Below are 19,650 nucleotides of genomic sequence, written 5' to 3' on the forward strand. Positions count from 1 at the left end.
GACTCCTGTTAGCATTTGTTGTAGGACAGGTCTATTTGCAATGAACTCCTTCAGTTTTTGTTTATCTGGGACAATCCAAATTTCTCTTTCATTTGAATGATAATTTTGCTAGATACAAGTTCTTGGTTGACAGCTCTTTTTTTTGTTTCAGCACTTTAAATATGTCATTGTCCTTCCTTCTGTCCTTCAGGGTTTTTGATGAAAAATATGCTATTAATGTTATTGAGAATTCCGTGTGTGTGATGACTTTCTTCTTTTTTGTTGTTTTCAAGATTCTCTGTTTTTTGCTTTCAGCAGTGTGACTACAATGTGTCTCAGTGTGAATCCCTTTGGGTTTATCCTGCTTGGAGCTGTTAAGCTTCTTGGATATGTAAATTCGTGTCTATTCATTGGTATTTATTCTACTATATATTAATTTGAGATATAAACTAAAGTACAAAGATAATTATATAAAAAATTTGAGAGTGGTTACCTGTAGGGAGTGGGAAAAAATTATGGTATGGGGAAAGGAATTTCTGTTTTCCTTAACAAGCTTTGCAGAACAAGTTGACTCTTCAAACTGAGTGCATGTATAACTTTGATAAGGTAAACATTAAATTTTAATAAACGGCAAAAGATAGAAACAATCTACAAAAAACGAAATACAAATGGCTCAACCACACTCATAATAACACAAGTGAAAAGAGAGAACATTATCACCTATCTGATCGGCAAAGGTCAAAAAGGTTGGTAACACACTGTATTGACAAGAGTGAGAGGTGACAGGCATTCAGATACATTCTTGATACAATTACATCAGGTTGCACATGCCTTTTGGCCTAACAATTCTACTTCCGCAAGTTTATGCCACGGGCACACTCACTAAGGTGCTCATAATTATATATGCACAAAATCAGCATTGTTTGGAAGAGCAAAAGATTTGAAGCAAACGTTCACCAGTAGGGGACTGGAAAAATAAAGTTACATCCATACAATAAAGCACCATGGAACCATAAAAAGGAATGAGGACATTCTAATGTACTTACATGAAAATATCTCTAGGATATTATGCTAAGTGGAAAAAAAGCAAGATTTAGAAAAGTGTATATGGTATGATTCCATTTGTGTAAACAAGAGGAAAAGGGAAGAATTTATATATATATGTATTTCCTTGTATATTCATAGAAACATTTCTATTTTGATACCAAACAATTTGTTTCCTCTGGAGAATGGAACTGGGAAGCTAAGGGTAGAATTGAGAGGGGGACATTGTACCCCCTTATGCTTTTTGGATTTGAATGATGTAAATGTATTACTTATTCAAATAAATTAATTCAAATAGTATGAATAAATCACTGAATGAATAAAATAATTCATCTAATGAATAGAAACACACATTGCACATTCCTTTCTGCAAGTCAACACCAGAGAATTTTATTCACCTTTCACTTACTTAGTCTCAGCTTCATTATCTTTCTGTTCTTTTGTTCTATCGCCTCATCTCTTCACCTCTTTTTCAGTGTCCAGTCAGGCATGAGGCTGTCCAGGAGGGACAGAATGACCACCAAGAAGACACAAAATAATATTTTAGTGATATAAGCAAGTTTTATAATCTGATCCTAGTATTGTTTACTCAGAAATACCTAGAATGGACCAGACATGCATGTCACCAGAGAGACATATAGAGAAGCCAAACCCTGGCTAATAAATTTATAAGAAATAGACCTGGTTGGACTAGATATTCACATTATACTGAGCAACACATTCTGTCCAATAAACAAAATGTGTAAAGAAGATTACTAGATCACAGGTCTTCAAACTGCATTGCTTGGAAAGCAGAATCTTTCCAAAGAGTGCATGGGCACAGTCTTAAAGGAATCCATTTTCATGTTCTTAATTTTCTTATCTCGTTTAAAAATCATCTGCCCAAGAAATCTCCTACATCCCCAATAGCCCTTTCCCATTTTGAGAAAGAAACATTTATCTGTTAGCTATCCTAGCTCTTACCACGGTGCTTCTCCAGCATTACTAGATATTACCAGATTGTCTTCAATGATTTTACTAGTTTATAGATCTACCTAAGAACTGGCATTGTCAATCTTTTTAATTTTTTAAACGTGACAGGTGTGAAATAGTACCACAATGTTGTTTTCATATGAATTTCCCTGATTATTAGAAATGTTGAGGACATTTTCATGTTTACTGGTATTCAGTGTTCTTCTGTAAAATGATTTTTGTACCGTGTACCCCACTTTTTATTGTTTTCTTTCTCATTTAGCATTAAAAGTTTCTTCATATATTCTTGATACTAATCCTGTGTTGGTTACACAAATATACACGTCTTTAAGCATTCAGGACTTCTATCTGTGCTCCTGGACAATTTCAGTGTGCTAAAGTTTTAATAGAATCAAATTTATTGGACTTTTTCTTTCTGGCTTATGCTTTTCGGTCTTCTTTAAAAAATCCTTTCCATTCCCTAGGGCACAAGTATATTCTCCTATATTTACTTCTAGATATTTTGTTCCTTGCTTTTAATATTCTTAAGTCTTTAATTTACCTAGAATTGATCTTTAAGTATGATATGAGATAAGAAAGATAATCAAATAACTAATAGTCTCATCATCCATTGAGTAATCATCATTTCCCCCACTCATTTGTAAAGACATCCCTATTGTAGATCAAAATTTCTGTAGTGTGTGCTTGCTTCTAAGCTCTCTATTCTGTGTAATCTGGGGAAGTTTGGTCTGTTTATATACCAATACTATGATTTCTTAATTATTACCATCTTAAAATAAATGTTGACTTCCAGTTGGGTGAATCCAAACATTTTGTTCTGTAAAAACTTTTTGGGTCCTCTTTCTACATATACTGTGAGAGTTAGCTTTTTAGGTCCCACCTCCCCCCAAAAAAATCCCTGATGGAATTGCAATTGATACCATATTGAATTTATAGATTGATTTTGGGAAATGGCTATCTTTATTTTTAATTTTTTTTTTTTTTTGGAGATGGAGTCTTACTAAGTAGTCCAGGCCAGACTCAACGCCTAGTCACAAATGTTCCCTGCCTTAGCCTCCTGAGTTGATGGGACTACAGGCAGAGGTTACCACGCCCAGATGTCGTCTTTAAAATATGGAGTTATTTTCCATCCAAGGACACAATCTAATTCTCCATTTACTTAGGATGTTCCTAATATTTTTCAATGAAGATTTTTTAAAGTTTTCTAACAGATGTTGGACACCTTTATTGATATTTAAAATGTGTGTGTGGGGTGTCATTGTAAAACACACTATCTTACAAATTATTCCTCGTGGCAGCTTTTTAAAAATGACTGTACATTCTCCACATCTCCGTTTGAGAGATGGAGACTAATTCTTGTTGCCTTTGCTCTGGGATGGCTTTAACACTTGCTTTTAACAAGTAGGTTATGGTAGAAGTGATGCTGTGTGACTTCTGAGGCAAAGTCAGAGAAGGCCATGCAGCTTTCTCCCAGTTTTCTTGGAATGCCCATTTTCTGAAGTCTCCCTCTCAGATGTTTCATATAATAACTCAGCCACCATGCTGTGAGAAGTGTAAGCCTTATGGAAAGGTTATCAATAGGTGCTCCTGTCAACAACCCCAGCTGAACTCATTTCCAGGCATAGCAGGACATGTGTGAATTAGAAAATTATCCTAGAAAAGGATCCTCCATGCCAATGGAGCTCTTCCAATCCTGCACTCCCAGCTATTTGAGACTTCTGCAGTAAATCCTCATACATCATAAAGCAAAGAAGAGCCATTTTCATTCTCCCATTTTTTTTTCAAACTTCTGGCCCACAGATTCTGTCAACATTATCAAATTTTTGTTCTTTTATATCACTAAGTTTGGATAATTTTGACATAGTAACAATAATCAGGACATTCCTTATTGCCATTATAGACAGGCAACTTAATTTTGTACATTTATCTTATATTTAGCAACTGTGTTAAACTCTCATTCATTCTAGAAGTTAGTTTTGGGTGTTTGATATCAGGAGTCGTCATGCTTTTTCTTAACAACCCAGACAAGAAATATGTTAGGTTTGTGGGCCACATTGTTTTTTGTTAAAACTGCTCAACTGCTTTTGTGGTGTGAAATCAGACACAGACAATATGTAAAAAAATGGGCATGGCTGTGTTCCATTGAGCGTTTACAGAAAGAGGAGCTCCTTGGGCTACAATTTGATGATACTTCTTTATATAGAATATTATGTATTTGTGGTTAATGACAGCTGTGTTTCTTCCTTTCCAGTCAATAGTCAATCTGATAATAGGATGTACATTTTCAATGGAGGCAAAAATTGGTTATTCAATGGGGGATAAAAATAATCTTGGATATTACAGTTGTTTGTGACCCTATAAAGGGCTATGGTACATATACATGTGTACAGTATTTCTGTGGTATAAAATTATCAGGGGAGGAGTGGCAATTATTGGAAAAGAAATGCCTGAAAAGGCTCCTTAGGGAAGCAAAAACTTTTTAAAAAATGTTACAATTCACTGCTCTGGGGTTAACATCATCCAGTACCATGTCAATAGAAATAGTAAATCAAGCAAGCCATCTTATCTTATTACTAACTTTAAAAATAATGCTTTTTTTTAAAAAAACTATGATGGTATCTAGCTAACTAGATATGACACTAGCTAGCTGGTATCACACAAACTCCCCCACAAGGAACAACTATAAATGCTATAAAATAATAATATTTTTGCAAACTGTTTCAAGCCATGAGATAACCATTAAAGCAATGAGGACTTGAGGGATTAAAAGCTTAAAAGCCTGAAGGCAGGGAAACTCAGAAAAGCGAGCCTTTTATATAGCTCATATTTTCCCTTTGAGTCTTCAGCAACAGCCCAGAGGCTGAGAAGCTCAACAGAGCCTTTAACAGTCTCCAAAAGCTAAGGAGACAAATATAAAAGCTCCATTCTGCTAAGGACAGGCAGTACTGCATTTTACTAAGGACAGGCAGGCTTTCAACTCCAATCTTTGAAAGTAGTAGAGAGGGAAAATTGGAAACATACCAGACCTCACACTGTCTGAAATACAGCTTCTAATTGTAGGAGAACTGTTTTGCCATGGCACCCTGTGACCTTGTGTACCTTCACTTAGGCCATACATGCAAGGATCAACCCCAGACTGATCCAAGTATTGGCAGAACACCTTGAGATCCTCCCAGGAACATGGCAAGATGGGCAATCTTGTGAGGAGCTGTCACAGATCATTTCCCATGTGCCTCTCTGTCTTGTGGGAGGCTACCACAAGGCAGTTTCTGATTTGCCTCTCTGGTTCTAACAAGACATGGGACTTTCTGCCTCTCCTCCATCCTTGAATACAGTTTGCAGGCTATAAAACTGTTTAGCTGCCATATGGAATTGGCTCTTCCACAACAAAGCTCCCTATAACTCATGTTGCCTATCATCTGGCCCCTTTGGTTCAATGACATTCTATGGGACATGGGGAACTGAGAGCATGTGATCTTGTTAATGATAACTGTGTTTCTTCCTTTCCGATATTCAATCTAGTATTAGGGCATGCATTTTCAGTGGAGGCAAAAATTAGTTCATCTAGAGGCTCCAGGAGGGAAATATGCATTTCCAAATTGCCTCTGGTTGTTAACAGAATTAATTTCATTACAGCTGTATGGCTGAGGTCCTTAGTTTTTGCTATCTGTTAGCCAGACTGCTCTCAGCTCCTAGAGGCTAGTCTTAGGTCCCTGCTTCATTGTCCCCTCTACTGGACCTCTTATATTTCCAATCTCTTTTTCAGGAAGGGCTCAGATTTTAAAGGCTTGCTTGATTAGGCCAAACTTTCTCAGATAATATTCCCTTTAATTATCCCCAAAAGATTGATATAGTTTATTACTTACACAGGCAGCGTGAATAATTCAAAAGTCAACTGACTAGTAACATTATCATAGGAGATATTGATCATATTCATAGGCTCTTCCCACACTGAAAGGATATTCTCTGACCACATTGGAATGAAATGACAAACCATTCACAGAGGAAATTTGGGAAATTCATAAATATGCATTAATTAGGCAATGCATGCCTAAATAATCAATGGGTCAAATAAGAAATCAAAAGGGAAATCGGAGACTACTTTGAGATGAATGAAAATGAAAACACTATATACCAAAACTTATGGAGTACATCTAAAAAAGTGCTTAAAGGGAAATTTATAGCCATAAATGCCTATATAAAAGAACAGAACAATTTCAAATCAACAACCTAAACTTCCACCTTAAAACACTGGAAAAAGTATTAGACCCCAAACTCATAACATGCAGAATATAGAAAAATAATAAAAATTAGAATGAAAATAAAATAGAGAACAAGAAAATAGCAGAGAAAATCAACAAAGTCAAAATATGTTTCTTCGAAAAGATTGACAAAATTGACAAACCTTTAAGTAGACACTGAAGGGAAAGAGAGAGAAAATTCAAACGACTATAATCAGAAAAGAAAGAGGAAACATTACCACTGACCTTACATAAATAAAAAGGATCACAAAAGAATACTATAAACAATTGTATGCCCCCAAGTTAGGTGAAATAGACTAGTTCCTTAAAAAAAAAAAAAAAAGAAAACCTCCACAAACTATCAAGATTGATTCAAAAGAACCAGAAAGTCTGAATAGACCTATAACAAGTACAGAGATTGAATTAGTAATCAGAAACTTTCCTCGAGGAAGAGCCCAAGACTAGATGGCTTCACTGGTTAATTCTACCAAACAAGTAAGAAGAATTAACACCATCTTGTTAAAAAACCAGAAGAAGAGAAAACAGTTCTCAACATATTCTATGAAGCCAGTACTACCCTGATAACAAAACTGACAAAGACATCACATAAAAATAAAACTATATACCAACATTTATTATAAATATAAATGCAAAAATCCTGCACAAAATATTAGCAACATTTATAAGCAAATCTAGCAACATTTAAAACATGATCAAATTGGATTTATCCTAGGAATGCAAGCTTGGTCCAAACTGTGAAAATCAATCAATATAATAAACCACATTAACAGGATGAAGAAAAAAAAATCACGTAATCATCTCAATTGATGCAGAAAAAAGCATTTGACAAAATCCAGTACTCAACAAACTGGGAATAGAAGGCAACTTCCTCATCTTAATAAAGGACATCTTTGAAAAACACCCACAGATATCATACTTAATGCTAAAAGATGGAGAGGTTTCCTACTAATATCAGATATATTTTTACCACTTCTATTCAACAATGTACTGGAAGTTCTAGGCAGGGCAATTAGGCAAGGAAAAGACATCCTGCCTGGAAAGAAAGAATTAAGACTGTCTCTATTTGCGGATGATGTAATTTTATATGTAGAAAATCCTAAATGATCCAAAAAACAACTATTAGAGCTAATAAACAAGGTCAGTAATGTTGCTGGATAAAATATCAATATACACGGATTATTTATACTTCCATAAACTTGGAACTTGGAGGATTCACACTTTCTGACTTCAAAATGTACTACAAAGCTACAGTAAACAAGAAACAGTAGCATTGGCATAAGGCTAGACATATAGATCAATAGAATTGAATTGAGACCTCAGAAATAAACCCAAACATTTATGGTCAATTGATTTTTGACAAGGGTGCCAAAAAAATTCAATGAGGAAAGGTAGTCTTTCAGCAAATGATGCTGCTACAATTAGATACCTACATACCAATGTAGTTGGACCCCTACCTCATACAGTATTCACAAATTAACTCAAAATGGATCAAAGTCTTAAATGTAAGAGCTAAAATTATTAAATGATTAGAAGAAAATTTAGGTGTACAGCTTCATCATCTTGAATTATGCAACAATTTATTAGATAAAAAGGCAAACAAATAAAATACTTAAAAATTGAGAGTCATCAAAATTAAAGACTTTTGTGCTTCCAAAGACTCCATCAAGAAAGTAGAAAGACAACCGACCCCTTGAATGGAAGAAAATATTTTCAAATCACATACTGTTAAGTGTCTAGTATTCAGCATATATAAAGAAGTCCTGCAACTTATAGTTGTATTACTCACAACAGTAAAGAGTAGAAACAACACAAATATCCATTGTGGTAGGCTGAAATATGCCACCTCCTCGAATGGTATTCACACCAAATACCTAGAACATGTTAATATTACTTTGTTTGGAAAAAGGTTCTTTGAAGATATGATTAAGGTAAGAATCTTGAGATAATCCTGGATTATATGGGAGGGCCCTAAATCCAATGACAAGTGACTTCATAAGAGAAAAGTAGAGAAAGAGACATGAGTCAGACAGAAGAGGAGGAGGAAGAGACACAAAGATCCAGAGGAGAAGGAGAATGTGAAGATGGTGCAGTGAGAGATGAAGGCACAAACCAAGGAATGCCAGCATCCACCAGAAACTGGAAGACAAGGAATGGAGCCTCCCCTAAAACCACCAGAGAGGACGTGCCCTTGCTGACACCTTGATTCTGGACTCTGGCCTCCAAAAGTAAGAGATAATGAATTTCTGTTGTTGTAAGTCATCAAGTTTGTGGTAATTTGTTACAACAAACACAGGAAACAAATACGCCCATGAAGTGAAGAATGAATCAATAAAATGAGGTACGTTCATATAACGGAATACTATTCAGCCATAGCAAGAAATGAAGTACTGGTTCATGCTATAACGTGGATGAACCTTGAAAACATTATGCTAAGTGAAAGAAACCAGTCTTGAAAGACTACATATTACATGATTCCATTGACATAAATATCCAGGATAGGCAGATTTTATAGGACAGAAAGTACATTAGTGGTTTCCAGGAGCCGAGGGGAAGGGATAACGCGGAGTGACACTAATAGGTATGGTGTTCTTTTGGGGGGAGATAAAAATGTTCTAGAATAGTGGGAATGTTTGCACTGCTTTGTGGATATATTTAATGCTAAAACCACTTAATTGTACACTTTAAAAGGACGTCTTTTATGATATATTAATTATATCTAAAATTTTTAAAAAGTGAAGCACTAAATCCAGCCCATACTCAAGGGCAGGGGAATTAATATCTACTTCCAAAGGATGGTATATCAGAGAAACTGTGGACATATTTCTAAAACCACCAGTAACTACTCTCTGTCTACAACTTATTTTCATTCCTCATACATGCAAAATACCACTTCCCAAGGCCCCACAAAGCCTCATCTCATACCAGGATCACCCAAATGTCCAGCAATACGTACTTAAATGCATATAGCAGAACTACAGAAGCCGAAGCAAAAGAGAGCATTCTAAAAGAATCAGAAAAAGAGACACATTGCCTTCAAAGAAGCAACAGGAAGATTCTCACTGACTTCTTAAGAGAAATGATGAGGTAATATCCTTAAAGTTTTAGAAAAAATTGCCAATGTAGAATTCTATTCCCATCAAAAATGTTCTTTAAAAAAATGAGAGTTGCTAAATGCAATGTGGTATCTTGGGTTGGATCCTGAAACAGGAAAGTGATATTTGTGGAAAAACTGTTGAAAGCCTAATGAAGTCTGCCATTTAGTTAGTAATATTACACCAATGTTAAACCAGCCTGACTGACATGGAGAAACCCCATCTCTACTAAAAATACAAAATTAGTCGGGCGTAGTGGCACATGCCTGTAATCCCAGCTACTTGGCAGGCTGAGGCAGGTGAATCGCTTGAACCCAGGAGGCAGAGGTTGCACTGAGCTGAGATTGCACCATTGCACTCCAGCCTGGGCAATAAGAGTGAAACTCTGTCTCAAAAAAAAAAAAAAAAAAATCTAAGTTCTGACAATGTACCATGGTTATTTAAGAACCATTAGTGGAAGCTGGGTTAAGGGGCAGTATTTTCTGTCCTATCTTTACAACATTTCTGTAAATCTAAAATTATTTTAAAAACAAAAGATTTCTTTTCAAAAAATGAAGGCTAAATAAAGACATTTTTCAAAGACCAAAAGAGAGAACTTGTCACATCAAAGGAAATAGTAAGGCAAAGACGCTGAAAAAGAATCAAACCAGATGGAAGCATGGGGATGCATAAAGGAATGACGGGCAATAGGGAAGATAAACACGTAGGCAAAACAAAATTAATACTGGCTATATGAAGCAATCAAAATCATATATTGTGGAGTTTAAATATACATGAAATGAAAACACAATAGCATGAAATGTGAGAGGGATGGTAAATGGAATTAAAGTGTTCTAAGGCCCATGCTTTGTCCTGAAAGTTGGTGAAAGTGTTAGCTAAATTCTGCTGCCATAAATCAACTATTCATACTGAGGAAGTAGGCTAACCACTACAAGGATAATAAAGTGTATAAACACAGTATATAACTAATTAGCTAATGAGGGATGAAATGGAATAATTCAAAAGGAGAAAAAGAGACAGAGAGAAATATAGCTTTGGCGAGATAACGAATATTAAAATGGCAAATTTAAAAGAATCCTCCAAATTTTTCTACATTAAGTATGAAGTTTGTTGTAGGGTTATTTTGAGAGGGAAGAAGCAGATACTCTATTAGAGCACAGACATGTTCTTCTGGTTTATATTCTAAAAGTTTTTATCATGAATGTCTTGAATTCTATCCATTTTTTTGTATCTACTAAGAAAACCATTAGTTCTTTCCTTTAGTAAAGTGATGTGTTAAGTCACATGAATGGAGTTTTCTAATGTTAATTATCCTTGTATTCCTAGGATAAACACAACTTGGACATAATTAAAAGTATGCATTCCTGAATTCTGTTTGCTATTTTTACAAATGTGAGCTTGTCAAGTCTATATTCACAGTGAGTTGACCTTCCTTATAATTCCCACGTCTATTTTTAATATTAAGTTTATAGTTGTATTAGTCTGTTCTCATGCTGCTAATAAAGACATACCTGAGACTGGGTAATTTATAAAGGAAAGAGGTTTAATTGACTCACGGTTCCACATGGCTGGGGAAGCCTCACAATCATGGCTGAAGGTGAATGAGGAGCAAAGTCATGTCTTACATGGTGGCAGGCAAGAGGGCATATGCACGGGAACTCCCCTTTATAAAACCAGCAGATGTTGTGCGACTTATTTGCTATCATGAGAACAGCACAGGAGAAACCCACCCACATGATACAATTACCTCCCACCAGGTCTCTCCCATGACACATAGGAATTATTACAATTCAAGGTGAGATTTGGGTGGGGACACAGAGCCAACCCATATCAATAGTGGTAGTAAATGAGTTGAGGAACGTTTCCCCATGTTCTCTTCTTTAGGACCATAAACAATAGAGATGACCTAAGGGATACATATTTAATAGAACTCTCCTACTAAACCATCTGGGCCTGGTGTTTCTACAGGGAGTTTTTAGCTACTGTGATAATAAAATAATATATATATATATTTGGTCTCTGCCCCCAGTTTTTGATGCAGAGCTCCTCAATCCTGAAATATCTGGGTGATGGGAGCATCTTTGGTTTTAATGACTATTGGTGAGCTCCTGGATTGTTTTAGGATGGGGGCTATTCACTAGAAAGACCAAGCATGATTAGGAGGTTGGACATTTTAGCCCCACCCTCTATCCTCCAGGGAGAGGAAAAGGGCTGGAGACTGAGTTAAATAATTGGTTATGCCTATGTGATGAAGCTTCTCTAAAAAACCCCGAACTATGGGAATTGAAGAGCTCCCGGCTGGTAAGCACACTGAGGTACTGGGAGGGTGGTGCACCCAGAGAGGGCACTGAAGCTTTGACTGTGTGGCTCCCCACCTTATCCTGGGCATCTCTTCCATTTGGGCATTCTTGAGTTGTGTTCTTTACAATAAACAGTAAAAGTAAGTGAAATGTTTTCTTGAGTTCTGTGATTTCGTCTAACAAATCATTGAACGTAAGGAAGGGGTCGTGGGAGCCTCCAGTTTGTAGCCAAGCCAGACAGAAATCATGGGTAACCTGGGGACCCATTATTTGCAACTGGCCTCTAAAATGGGGCACAGTCTTATGGGACTGAACCCTTAACCTGTGGCGGGGGGTCTGCCACCATCACAGGGTTGTTAGCATCAGAATTAAATTATAGAACAGCCAGTTAGTATCTGCAGGGATGTAAAAAATTCCTTGGTTTGGAAAACCCACACATTTGGTGTCAGAAGTGTTGTGAGTATAGGAAAAACAGTTTGTTTTCTTTTTTTAACTATTAATTGAATTCACTTAATGAATATGATCTATTTACTTGCCTATTTTTTTGTGAATTTGGATTTTTTGTAAATTATACTTTTCTACTACATTATATTATCTAAAGGTTTACATTCATTGAGTAAGGTAATTTATATTATGTATATTAAATCTAATCTTCCTATATTTATAACTCCCTTATCTTTCCTAATTGCATTTATTTGTGGCTTTTTTTTTAATCTATATCAATCTTCTCACTGGTGTGTATATCTATTTTTACAAAGAACAAACTTTTGCCTTTATTGATACTTTTTTTTTCTATTTAATTTGTTTCTTCTCTTACCTTTATTTTTGCCTTCTATTATATTTGCATTTAGTTTCTTAGGGTTTTTTTTTCTGGCTTCTTTATTTAGATGCTTAGTCTATTAATACTGAGAAATTTGTCTTCTCCAATAATTATACTTAAGGCTATAAATTTTCCTCTAAATACTTTAGTCACACCCCAAAAATAAAGTTCTAGTTATTCTCTAATTTTCATTATTTTTTATTGAGGAATGTGTTTTTAAATTTTCAACGTCTATATCTTTTAACTTTTGAAAAATTAAAATACAACATACATACTTAAAGATGTCAAAGACTTTAATAAATTTGCATAAAACTACCAGCAAGGTCAAGGCATAGAACTTTGCCAGTTCCCTAAAAACTCCCCACATGTCACCTTTCATTTACGACTCCTTTTTCCTTCCCAAAAGATCACCACTATTCTGACCTCTAACGCTGGAGTTCAGTTTCACATATTTTCTAACTTTAAATAAATGGAGTTATACTGTATGTGCTATTTTGTATCTGTTTTCCATGACTTTGACTCTATGGTTCAGGTTCACATATTTTTGAAGTTTATATTAATGGAAGTAAACAGTATGTATTCTTTTGTATCATTGTATTTTGATACACTTTATGTGAGATTCATATCCGTTGTGGCATTTACCTATAACTCATTCGTTTTCAGTTCTCTTTACTATTGCATTACACGGAAACAGCACAATTTATGGATCCATTTTATCGCTGGGTTGACAATGGGTGTTTTTCAGTTTGGGGCTATTGTGAATAGTGCTGCTATGAGCATTCTTGTCATATCTTTTGGTGTAAATGGAATTCCTGCCAATAGCTGACTTCAATTCTCTCTCCTTACTCACTAGAAACTGGAGGGCTAACGCTATCATATGTTTGCACTGACCAACATATACAGTGATAGAGGCCACTCTAACCTGCAACCTTCCAGGTCCACAAAATCTAAAATAATGAGCCTCCCAAAGAAGTGGTAAGAAAATTTGCAGTCAAGGGCCTGGGAGCACATGACTCGTCAGCTCCAGAGCAGCTCCCTTGGCCCTTCCTCGGCCACCCTCTGGATGGAAGGCAGATGATCAACACTGCACAACATTAGCAGATGAGGGCCCCATCTGCACACCTGTGGGGCTCCTCTCCAGAAACACGAGTCGTTGTTTAAATCATAAATAATAAATCATCTTTGATTTCTGACAGGAGGGTGGAATGATAAATTTATCTTTGTCTTGGTTTTGAGGAATGCAATAAACAAAGAAGGAAGCAGGTAACGCCTTTCCCCAATTCTCACCTTCTGGATGAGCTACTCTCCATAGCTGGGTGTTTTCGGAGCTGGATGGGCTGGCAGGAGGGCCTTGGTAGTGGAAATGTCTGGCATGGGCTCAGCTTAGCTTGCCTCCACCAAGAGCCTTGGGAATCTCTCAAGAAGGGAGCATGGGGAAGCCTGGCTGCTGTGGCCTGTCTCTGTATCCAGGGCTCAGTCTTCTGTCTTTTTTTTCTCTCAAAACCTCAGTCAACAAAAATAAGCGTGTTCCTCTAGATCATACCATGAAAACTTTTTCCATTTGTTTCCTATACTTCTATGGATCCTTTGTTACAAGTCTGGCTTGGTTCTTGCCAGCACGTCAAATTTGTCCAGTTAACAGAAGGTTAAAATACATATTGAAAGACATAAAAACTTAACTCTCATGCACTCTCTCAAACCGATGCATTCTTAATATCTTCAGCTTCACTCTTACTTTCTGAAGAAGAGATTTTCATGACATAGTTTTCAGAGGAAATTTTCCATCCCAATAGCTAAACACTCAGTAATAGGTTGCCTTAGGTGGTTAGGTCAATATCATGCATCCCAATTGATTGGGATGGTTCTGACTATCAAAAGAGAAAGTATGCGGAAAAAAAGCAAAAATCAAATGTTATCTATTGGTTTGGAGCATGTGATGGTTAATTGGTATAAATTGGTTAGGCTATGGTGCCCAGACATTTGGTCAAAGGCCAGGCTAGAATATTGCTGTGAATGTGTTTTTTTAAAGGTGCAATTAACACTTAAATCAGTAGACACTGAGTAAAGGAGATTATTGTACGATCCATGATGTGGTGGGCTGCATTCAGTCAGTTGATGGTCTTAAGAAAGAGACAGAGCGCCCCTACCCACCCCCCACCAAGGAAGAGGGAATTCTGCTAGCAGACAGCCTTCAGACTTCAGCTGCAACATCAACTCTTCCCTGGGTCTCCAGCTTGCCAGCCCGTCCTGCAGATTTCAGATTCACCAGTCCCACAGTGGCATGAAACAAATCCTTGAGATGAATCTCTCTATACGTATCTGCATCCAGTTGGTTCTGTCCCTGTCAAGAACTCTAATACAGAGGCCACATTGTCAAGGGTCTGAGATAACATGCCAGTGGAAGGAGATTGGTACTCTGTGTCTCTGCCTCCTCCCAGGTTACACTCACTGTGCCTTCTTCATTGGTCAGTCTATGAGTGTACAGGAGTGTAGACAGGAATACTTGAGAGTTTGGGAAGACTGGGTCAGGAAAAGGGATAGGGAAAAGATATTCATAGTGGGGGTGGTTTTTCACCATCAGGAAATTAAACTGTGGAACACACGCTGCTAGAACCAAGATACACTTTCTGGTTCCTAAGTCAGGTGCAAACCCCTACTCTTTCTCTCAGCTTTCCACTCCTGCTGTGGTGGCCAGGGGTATTTGGGCCATCCTCACCCTGACTCAGTTGGAAACTGTCACTGCTTCATACTCCTGTTAAACATGTCCAAACCAGCAGCTGCTTAGCAGCCTTTACCTGTCAAACATCATGCTAGACACTGAGACCAGGGAGAACTCTTTAGCCAAAGAAGCCTCCAAGAAAAGAAATCCTGCAGAAGCCTAGCTCAATGGGCTCACAGTTTATTCACTTAGTGGCTGCTAAAAAGTCTTGATGCATCCCCGTTTTAAACTATTTACTGTCTGGCTCATTGAAGAAAATATTTGCTGAGCCCTGAATTATTCACTGTGTGTGTCTCTTCCCTAAGGAAGGCAAGGACCAACCTCTGTTCATTTTCCTCCTCACTCTGTCACCCTGTTCATCTTGCTGCCATTGCTTTAGTTTAAACTGGACCCACAAATCTGAGCAATGTCAGCAATGAGGTCACACAAGGTTCCTGGAAGCCTTAGTGACCACTCCGAACCCAGTTGGAGACTGCAGTTCTAAGAGCTTCCTGTGAGAGAGTGACTTTAGTTATCATTTCACAACAAATTAAAGAAAGTAGCATTTCTCCTGGAATGTTACCCACAACCACAAGAAGTCATAGAACATCGTTAATCACCTTACTTGCAGGTGCAGGTTCTCCCTGATTGAATGAAGCATCAATTCAAGTGTAACAGCCTTACCCTTAACTCTTCTAGTAAGATGAGGGGAGATATCTTTCTCCAAGAATGGGAATTCGGTGAATAAACTGGTCTTTCCAAGGGGCGAGAATCAGATACAGAAAAAAAAATATGGATATAATTTTGAAAAGGCTTTATTGAGTCAAAAAGCATAGCGTGGTTTCTGGGATGTCTAAGCCATTCAACAATCTTTCCATTCCCAATGAACAAATGGAATGAAGGAAGGGAGGTAAAAAGGAACATGAATATTTGAATCTTACCTTGATTAAGAAGACTCAAGTTCGGCTGGGCGCGGTGGCTCACGCCTGTAATCCCAGCACTTTGGGAGGACAAGGTGGGCGGATCACGAGGTCAGGAGATTGAGACCATCCTGGTTAACACGGTGAAACCCCATCTCTACTAAAAATACAAAAAAATTAGCCGGGTGTGGTGGTGGGGGCCTGTAGTCCCAGCTACTCAGGAGGCTGAGGCTGGAGAATGGCGTGAACCCAGGACGTGGAGCTTGCAGTGAGCCAAGATCGCGCCACTGCACTCCAGCCTGGACGACAGAGTGAGACTCCGTCTCCAAAAAAAAAAAAAAAGACTCAAGGTCTTAAGATGATCTGCTGGTCATAGACAAAGATGTATCTCTCAGTTACTCAGATCTACGGTCTCTGTACAGTGATCAACAACAGCTGCAAGGATATCTCTAGAGGAGACACCACCTTTTTATTTTTGTGAACTTTCAAACGTGTATTTTTATTATGAACAGCATTGCATAGGCGGAGGGCATGAAAGGAAGAAGATTCGGGACAAGAGAATGAGAGGAGGGTTAGGTGGTCTGACATGTGTCTTCAAAGAGGAGGTTGATGTTTAACAAAGGAATTAGGGTAACAGGAAAAAACAGGAGGGGATTGAAGAAGGATGGAAGACCAAGGTCTGGGGAATGAGAAATGCCAGCAGGGAGGACTGTGCTTCCTGGACCCTACTGTCCCACCATGAATAGGCTGGAGAACCACTCTTGCTGAGCCGGTTACTCTATCCTAGATCCCAGGGCCCATTGAAGATGCTAAAGTGTGATGATTTGCAGATAATTGGAAGCCAATGAGGAAAGGAGAAGGTGTTCCAGGGTCTCTGTACCCTAAAGGCAGAGAGAGGACTGCAGCTACCTGGGGAAGCAGATGGGGTGAAACTGTGAAACTGAAACAATGCCTGGAGAGAAGCAAGAAATGGAAGAGTAGAGGGTCAGCCTGGGACTGTGGTTGGGACCCCCCACCATGGCCCTGCTGCTCCTCACTGTTCTGGGCCCATGGAACTGTGGACACCCAGGACTCTCAAAAATTGGGAATCAGCAGAAGTTTAAAAGTGAAGTAAAAGCACAAATGGCAGAATATGAAAAAAATTTATTTGAAAACAAAAACCATTTCTGTGGAGGTGTGAGTGTATATATATATGCATGTGTGTGTACATATATTTGTATAAATGTATATATGTGTATATTTATACATATTTAAGTTAAAGTTTTGGAATTGTGGATACCATCTGGAAATGTAAAAACTAGGATATCAATGGGAAACACTACCTTCATCATTGCTGCTCTACTGGATATGGAAACTAAACTCATTCAGTGTTTGAGCAATTTTATAAATCAAACCATAAACAAGGGGATTCTGGGAGGGAGGTGGAATTAGGGTGCAGAGTCCCAGAGGATCTGCAGAAGTAAAGATTTGTTGCATCAGGTGCTGTAGTCCACAGCATAAACACAGCACGCACGCGCACCCACACACACGCATGCGAGCACAATACACTCTCCTTCTGTCTGAATTTTCTCTACCCTGAACTTGTCCTCTGGCAAGTTCTTAAATAAACTCATCACATATTTGCCTTCTGCTTGAAGATGATGCTCTTTATCAGACACATATTTGATAAGGGAATACACTAAAAGACACTTTGTACTACTCAGGTTTAGATGTGAACACTCACACTATGCAGAGGGAAAGCAGGAAATTCTGAATCAGGACATCTTGGTCAAGCCGTAATAAACTGATAAGTCTCCTTCTGATTCTTTAAGTGTAATTCCTTACAGGAGAAATGGCTGCCCCCGTTAAAAAGGTAGATAGTCCCTTTATTTTACACTAAAAATTTATTGAGAAAACTTATATGCTTCCAAAGAAGAAAATTCATATTAGAAGTTGGAAAAACCCCAAGTCATCATTCCACTAAACCATACTGCAATACAAGAGTTTTAAAGTATTCAAACTTTACCAAAATGTACAAATACAACGTATTAACATTGTCTCCACATAAAAACCCTCTGGTAGTGAGATATGGCTGCGTTTAATCCTATTGTATACAGTAGACTAGGAAGGGGAATTTGATCCTCTTTGACCAACCTTCTACCTGGGCACTAATATTTCAAGGTAGGTGATGCTGAGCTACCAGCTGGGAGAAAGAATCGGATCATATTTCATAGAATAATTGAATGCCTGGCTAGAAAGGACCTGGGGGTCATGAGCACAAAGCCTTCAGTTTCTAAGTAGCAACATAGGGGCCCAGGAAGCTCATGGGAGTCTGCTTGTTTTCCAGAGGTCCTGGCAAGAAGGGAAAGCCCAAAAGAGCCTGGACCTGATAAAACAACAGGGCCAGCCTCAATGGAATTGGAGACTAAGTGAAGTAACTCAGCAACGGAAAACCAAACGTATGTTCTCACTCGTAAGTGGGAGCAAAACCTACTGAAATGAGAAATAAAACAACAACAACAATAACAACAACAACAGTTCCAGCAAGAGCCAGCAGGTAGTTGAGTGATCTTCCAGCTTAGATCCAACACCTCCCAGCTATAATCTACCTGACTGGCCCCAAAGAAACAGTGGAACAATGGATTGGATGTGCATATTTCAGGAAAGTCAGCACCCTAAAGGGGGTAGCAGTTAAATGGGAAACAAACACTGAGTTTTTACCCACCAAATATACCCTCCAAGTCTTATCTATTTATTTATTTATTTGTTTATTTATTTTCAGACTGAATCTCACTCTGTCGCCCAGGCTGGAGTGCAGTGGCGCGATCTCGACTCACCGCCACCTCTGCCTCCCAGGTTCAAGCAATTCTCCTGCCTCAGCCTCCCAGGTAGCTGGGACTACAGGTGCACGCCACCATGCCCAGCTAATTTTTTGTATTTTTAGTACAGATGGGGTTTCACCATGTTGCCCAGGCTGGTCGTGAACTCCTGAGCTCAGGCAATCTGCCTGCCTTGGCCTCCCAAAGTGCTGGGATTACAGGTGTGAGCCACTATGCCCGGCCACCTTCCAAGTCTTTGAAGCTGAACTTTCAAGCCAGAGTATTGGTCCTCCTCCCAGTACAGACCACACCAGGTCCCTGGTCAGCCCCGTCAAGCCTCTTGAGGAGGAGCCTAATGCCTGCACACTTAAGCCTGCTGGGCAGGTGCAGGAGGGAAAGCAGAGGCCCCTTGTGGTGACCCGGAGTGACCAGTCACCTGCAAGCATGGCTTTTTTCTGCTGCATGGCCTGCTGCCATGGGTTGCCCTTCTGGGCAGCTGTGGCAAAGCCTGCAGAGCACAGCTGGAAGGATGGGTTCAGCTGCCATGTCTTACACCGGAGATGCTAGAGAAGTGACAGCCTCTTTCAGTGTCTTAGAGGCCCAAACAGAAAGACCCAATTGGCCAGCATCTCCAAATGGTTGTTATAGTGGCAGAAATGGAAACAAAGCAAAGAACATCTCAAATGCTCCAGGGGCAGTTGGATGAGGAAACATAGCAGCTGCAGAGGCAGGAAAAAGAGCTGCAAGAATGCAGAGGCAGGCATG

General features: G+C 38.5%; 1 long non-coding RNA gene across 4 annotated transcripts in view; it reads right to left on the minus strand.

Annotated features, from left to right (window-relative positions):
* The window catches only part of ARNT2-DT (ARNT2 divergent transcript), a 59,344-nt gene that overhangs the window by 1,414 nt on the left and 38,280 nt on the right, over positions 1-19,650 (minus strand). For 2 of the 4 annotated variants that reach the window (NR_184068.1, NR_184067.1), the window contains exon 4: positions 1,433-1,518. This is a non-coding gene — a long non-coding RNA (ARNT2 divergent transcript). Of the gene's footprint in view, positions 1-1,432; positions 1,519-16,108; positions 16,248-19,650 lie in introns of all 4 variants that reach the window. The other 2 variants (NR_184070.1, NR_184069.1) reach the window with 2 other exon arrangements.

This window comes from Homo sapiens, chromosome 15 (genome assembly GCF_000001405.40).
Source record: "Homo sapiens chromosome 15, GRCh38.p14 Primary Assembly".
In the NCBI taxonomy this organism is placed as follows: Eukaryota; Metazoa; Chordata; class Mammalia; order Primates; family Hominidae; genus Homo; species Homo sapiens.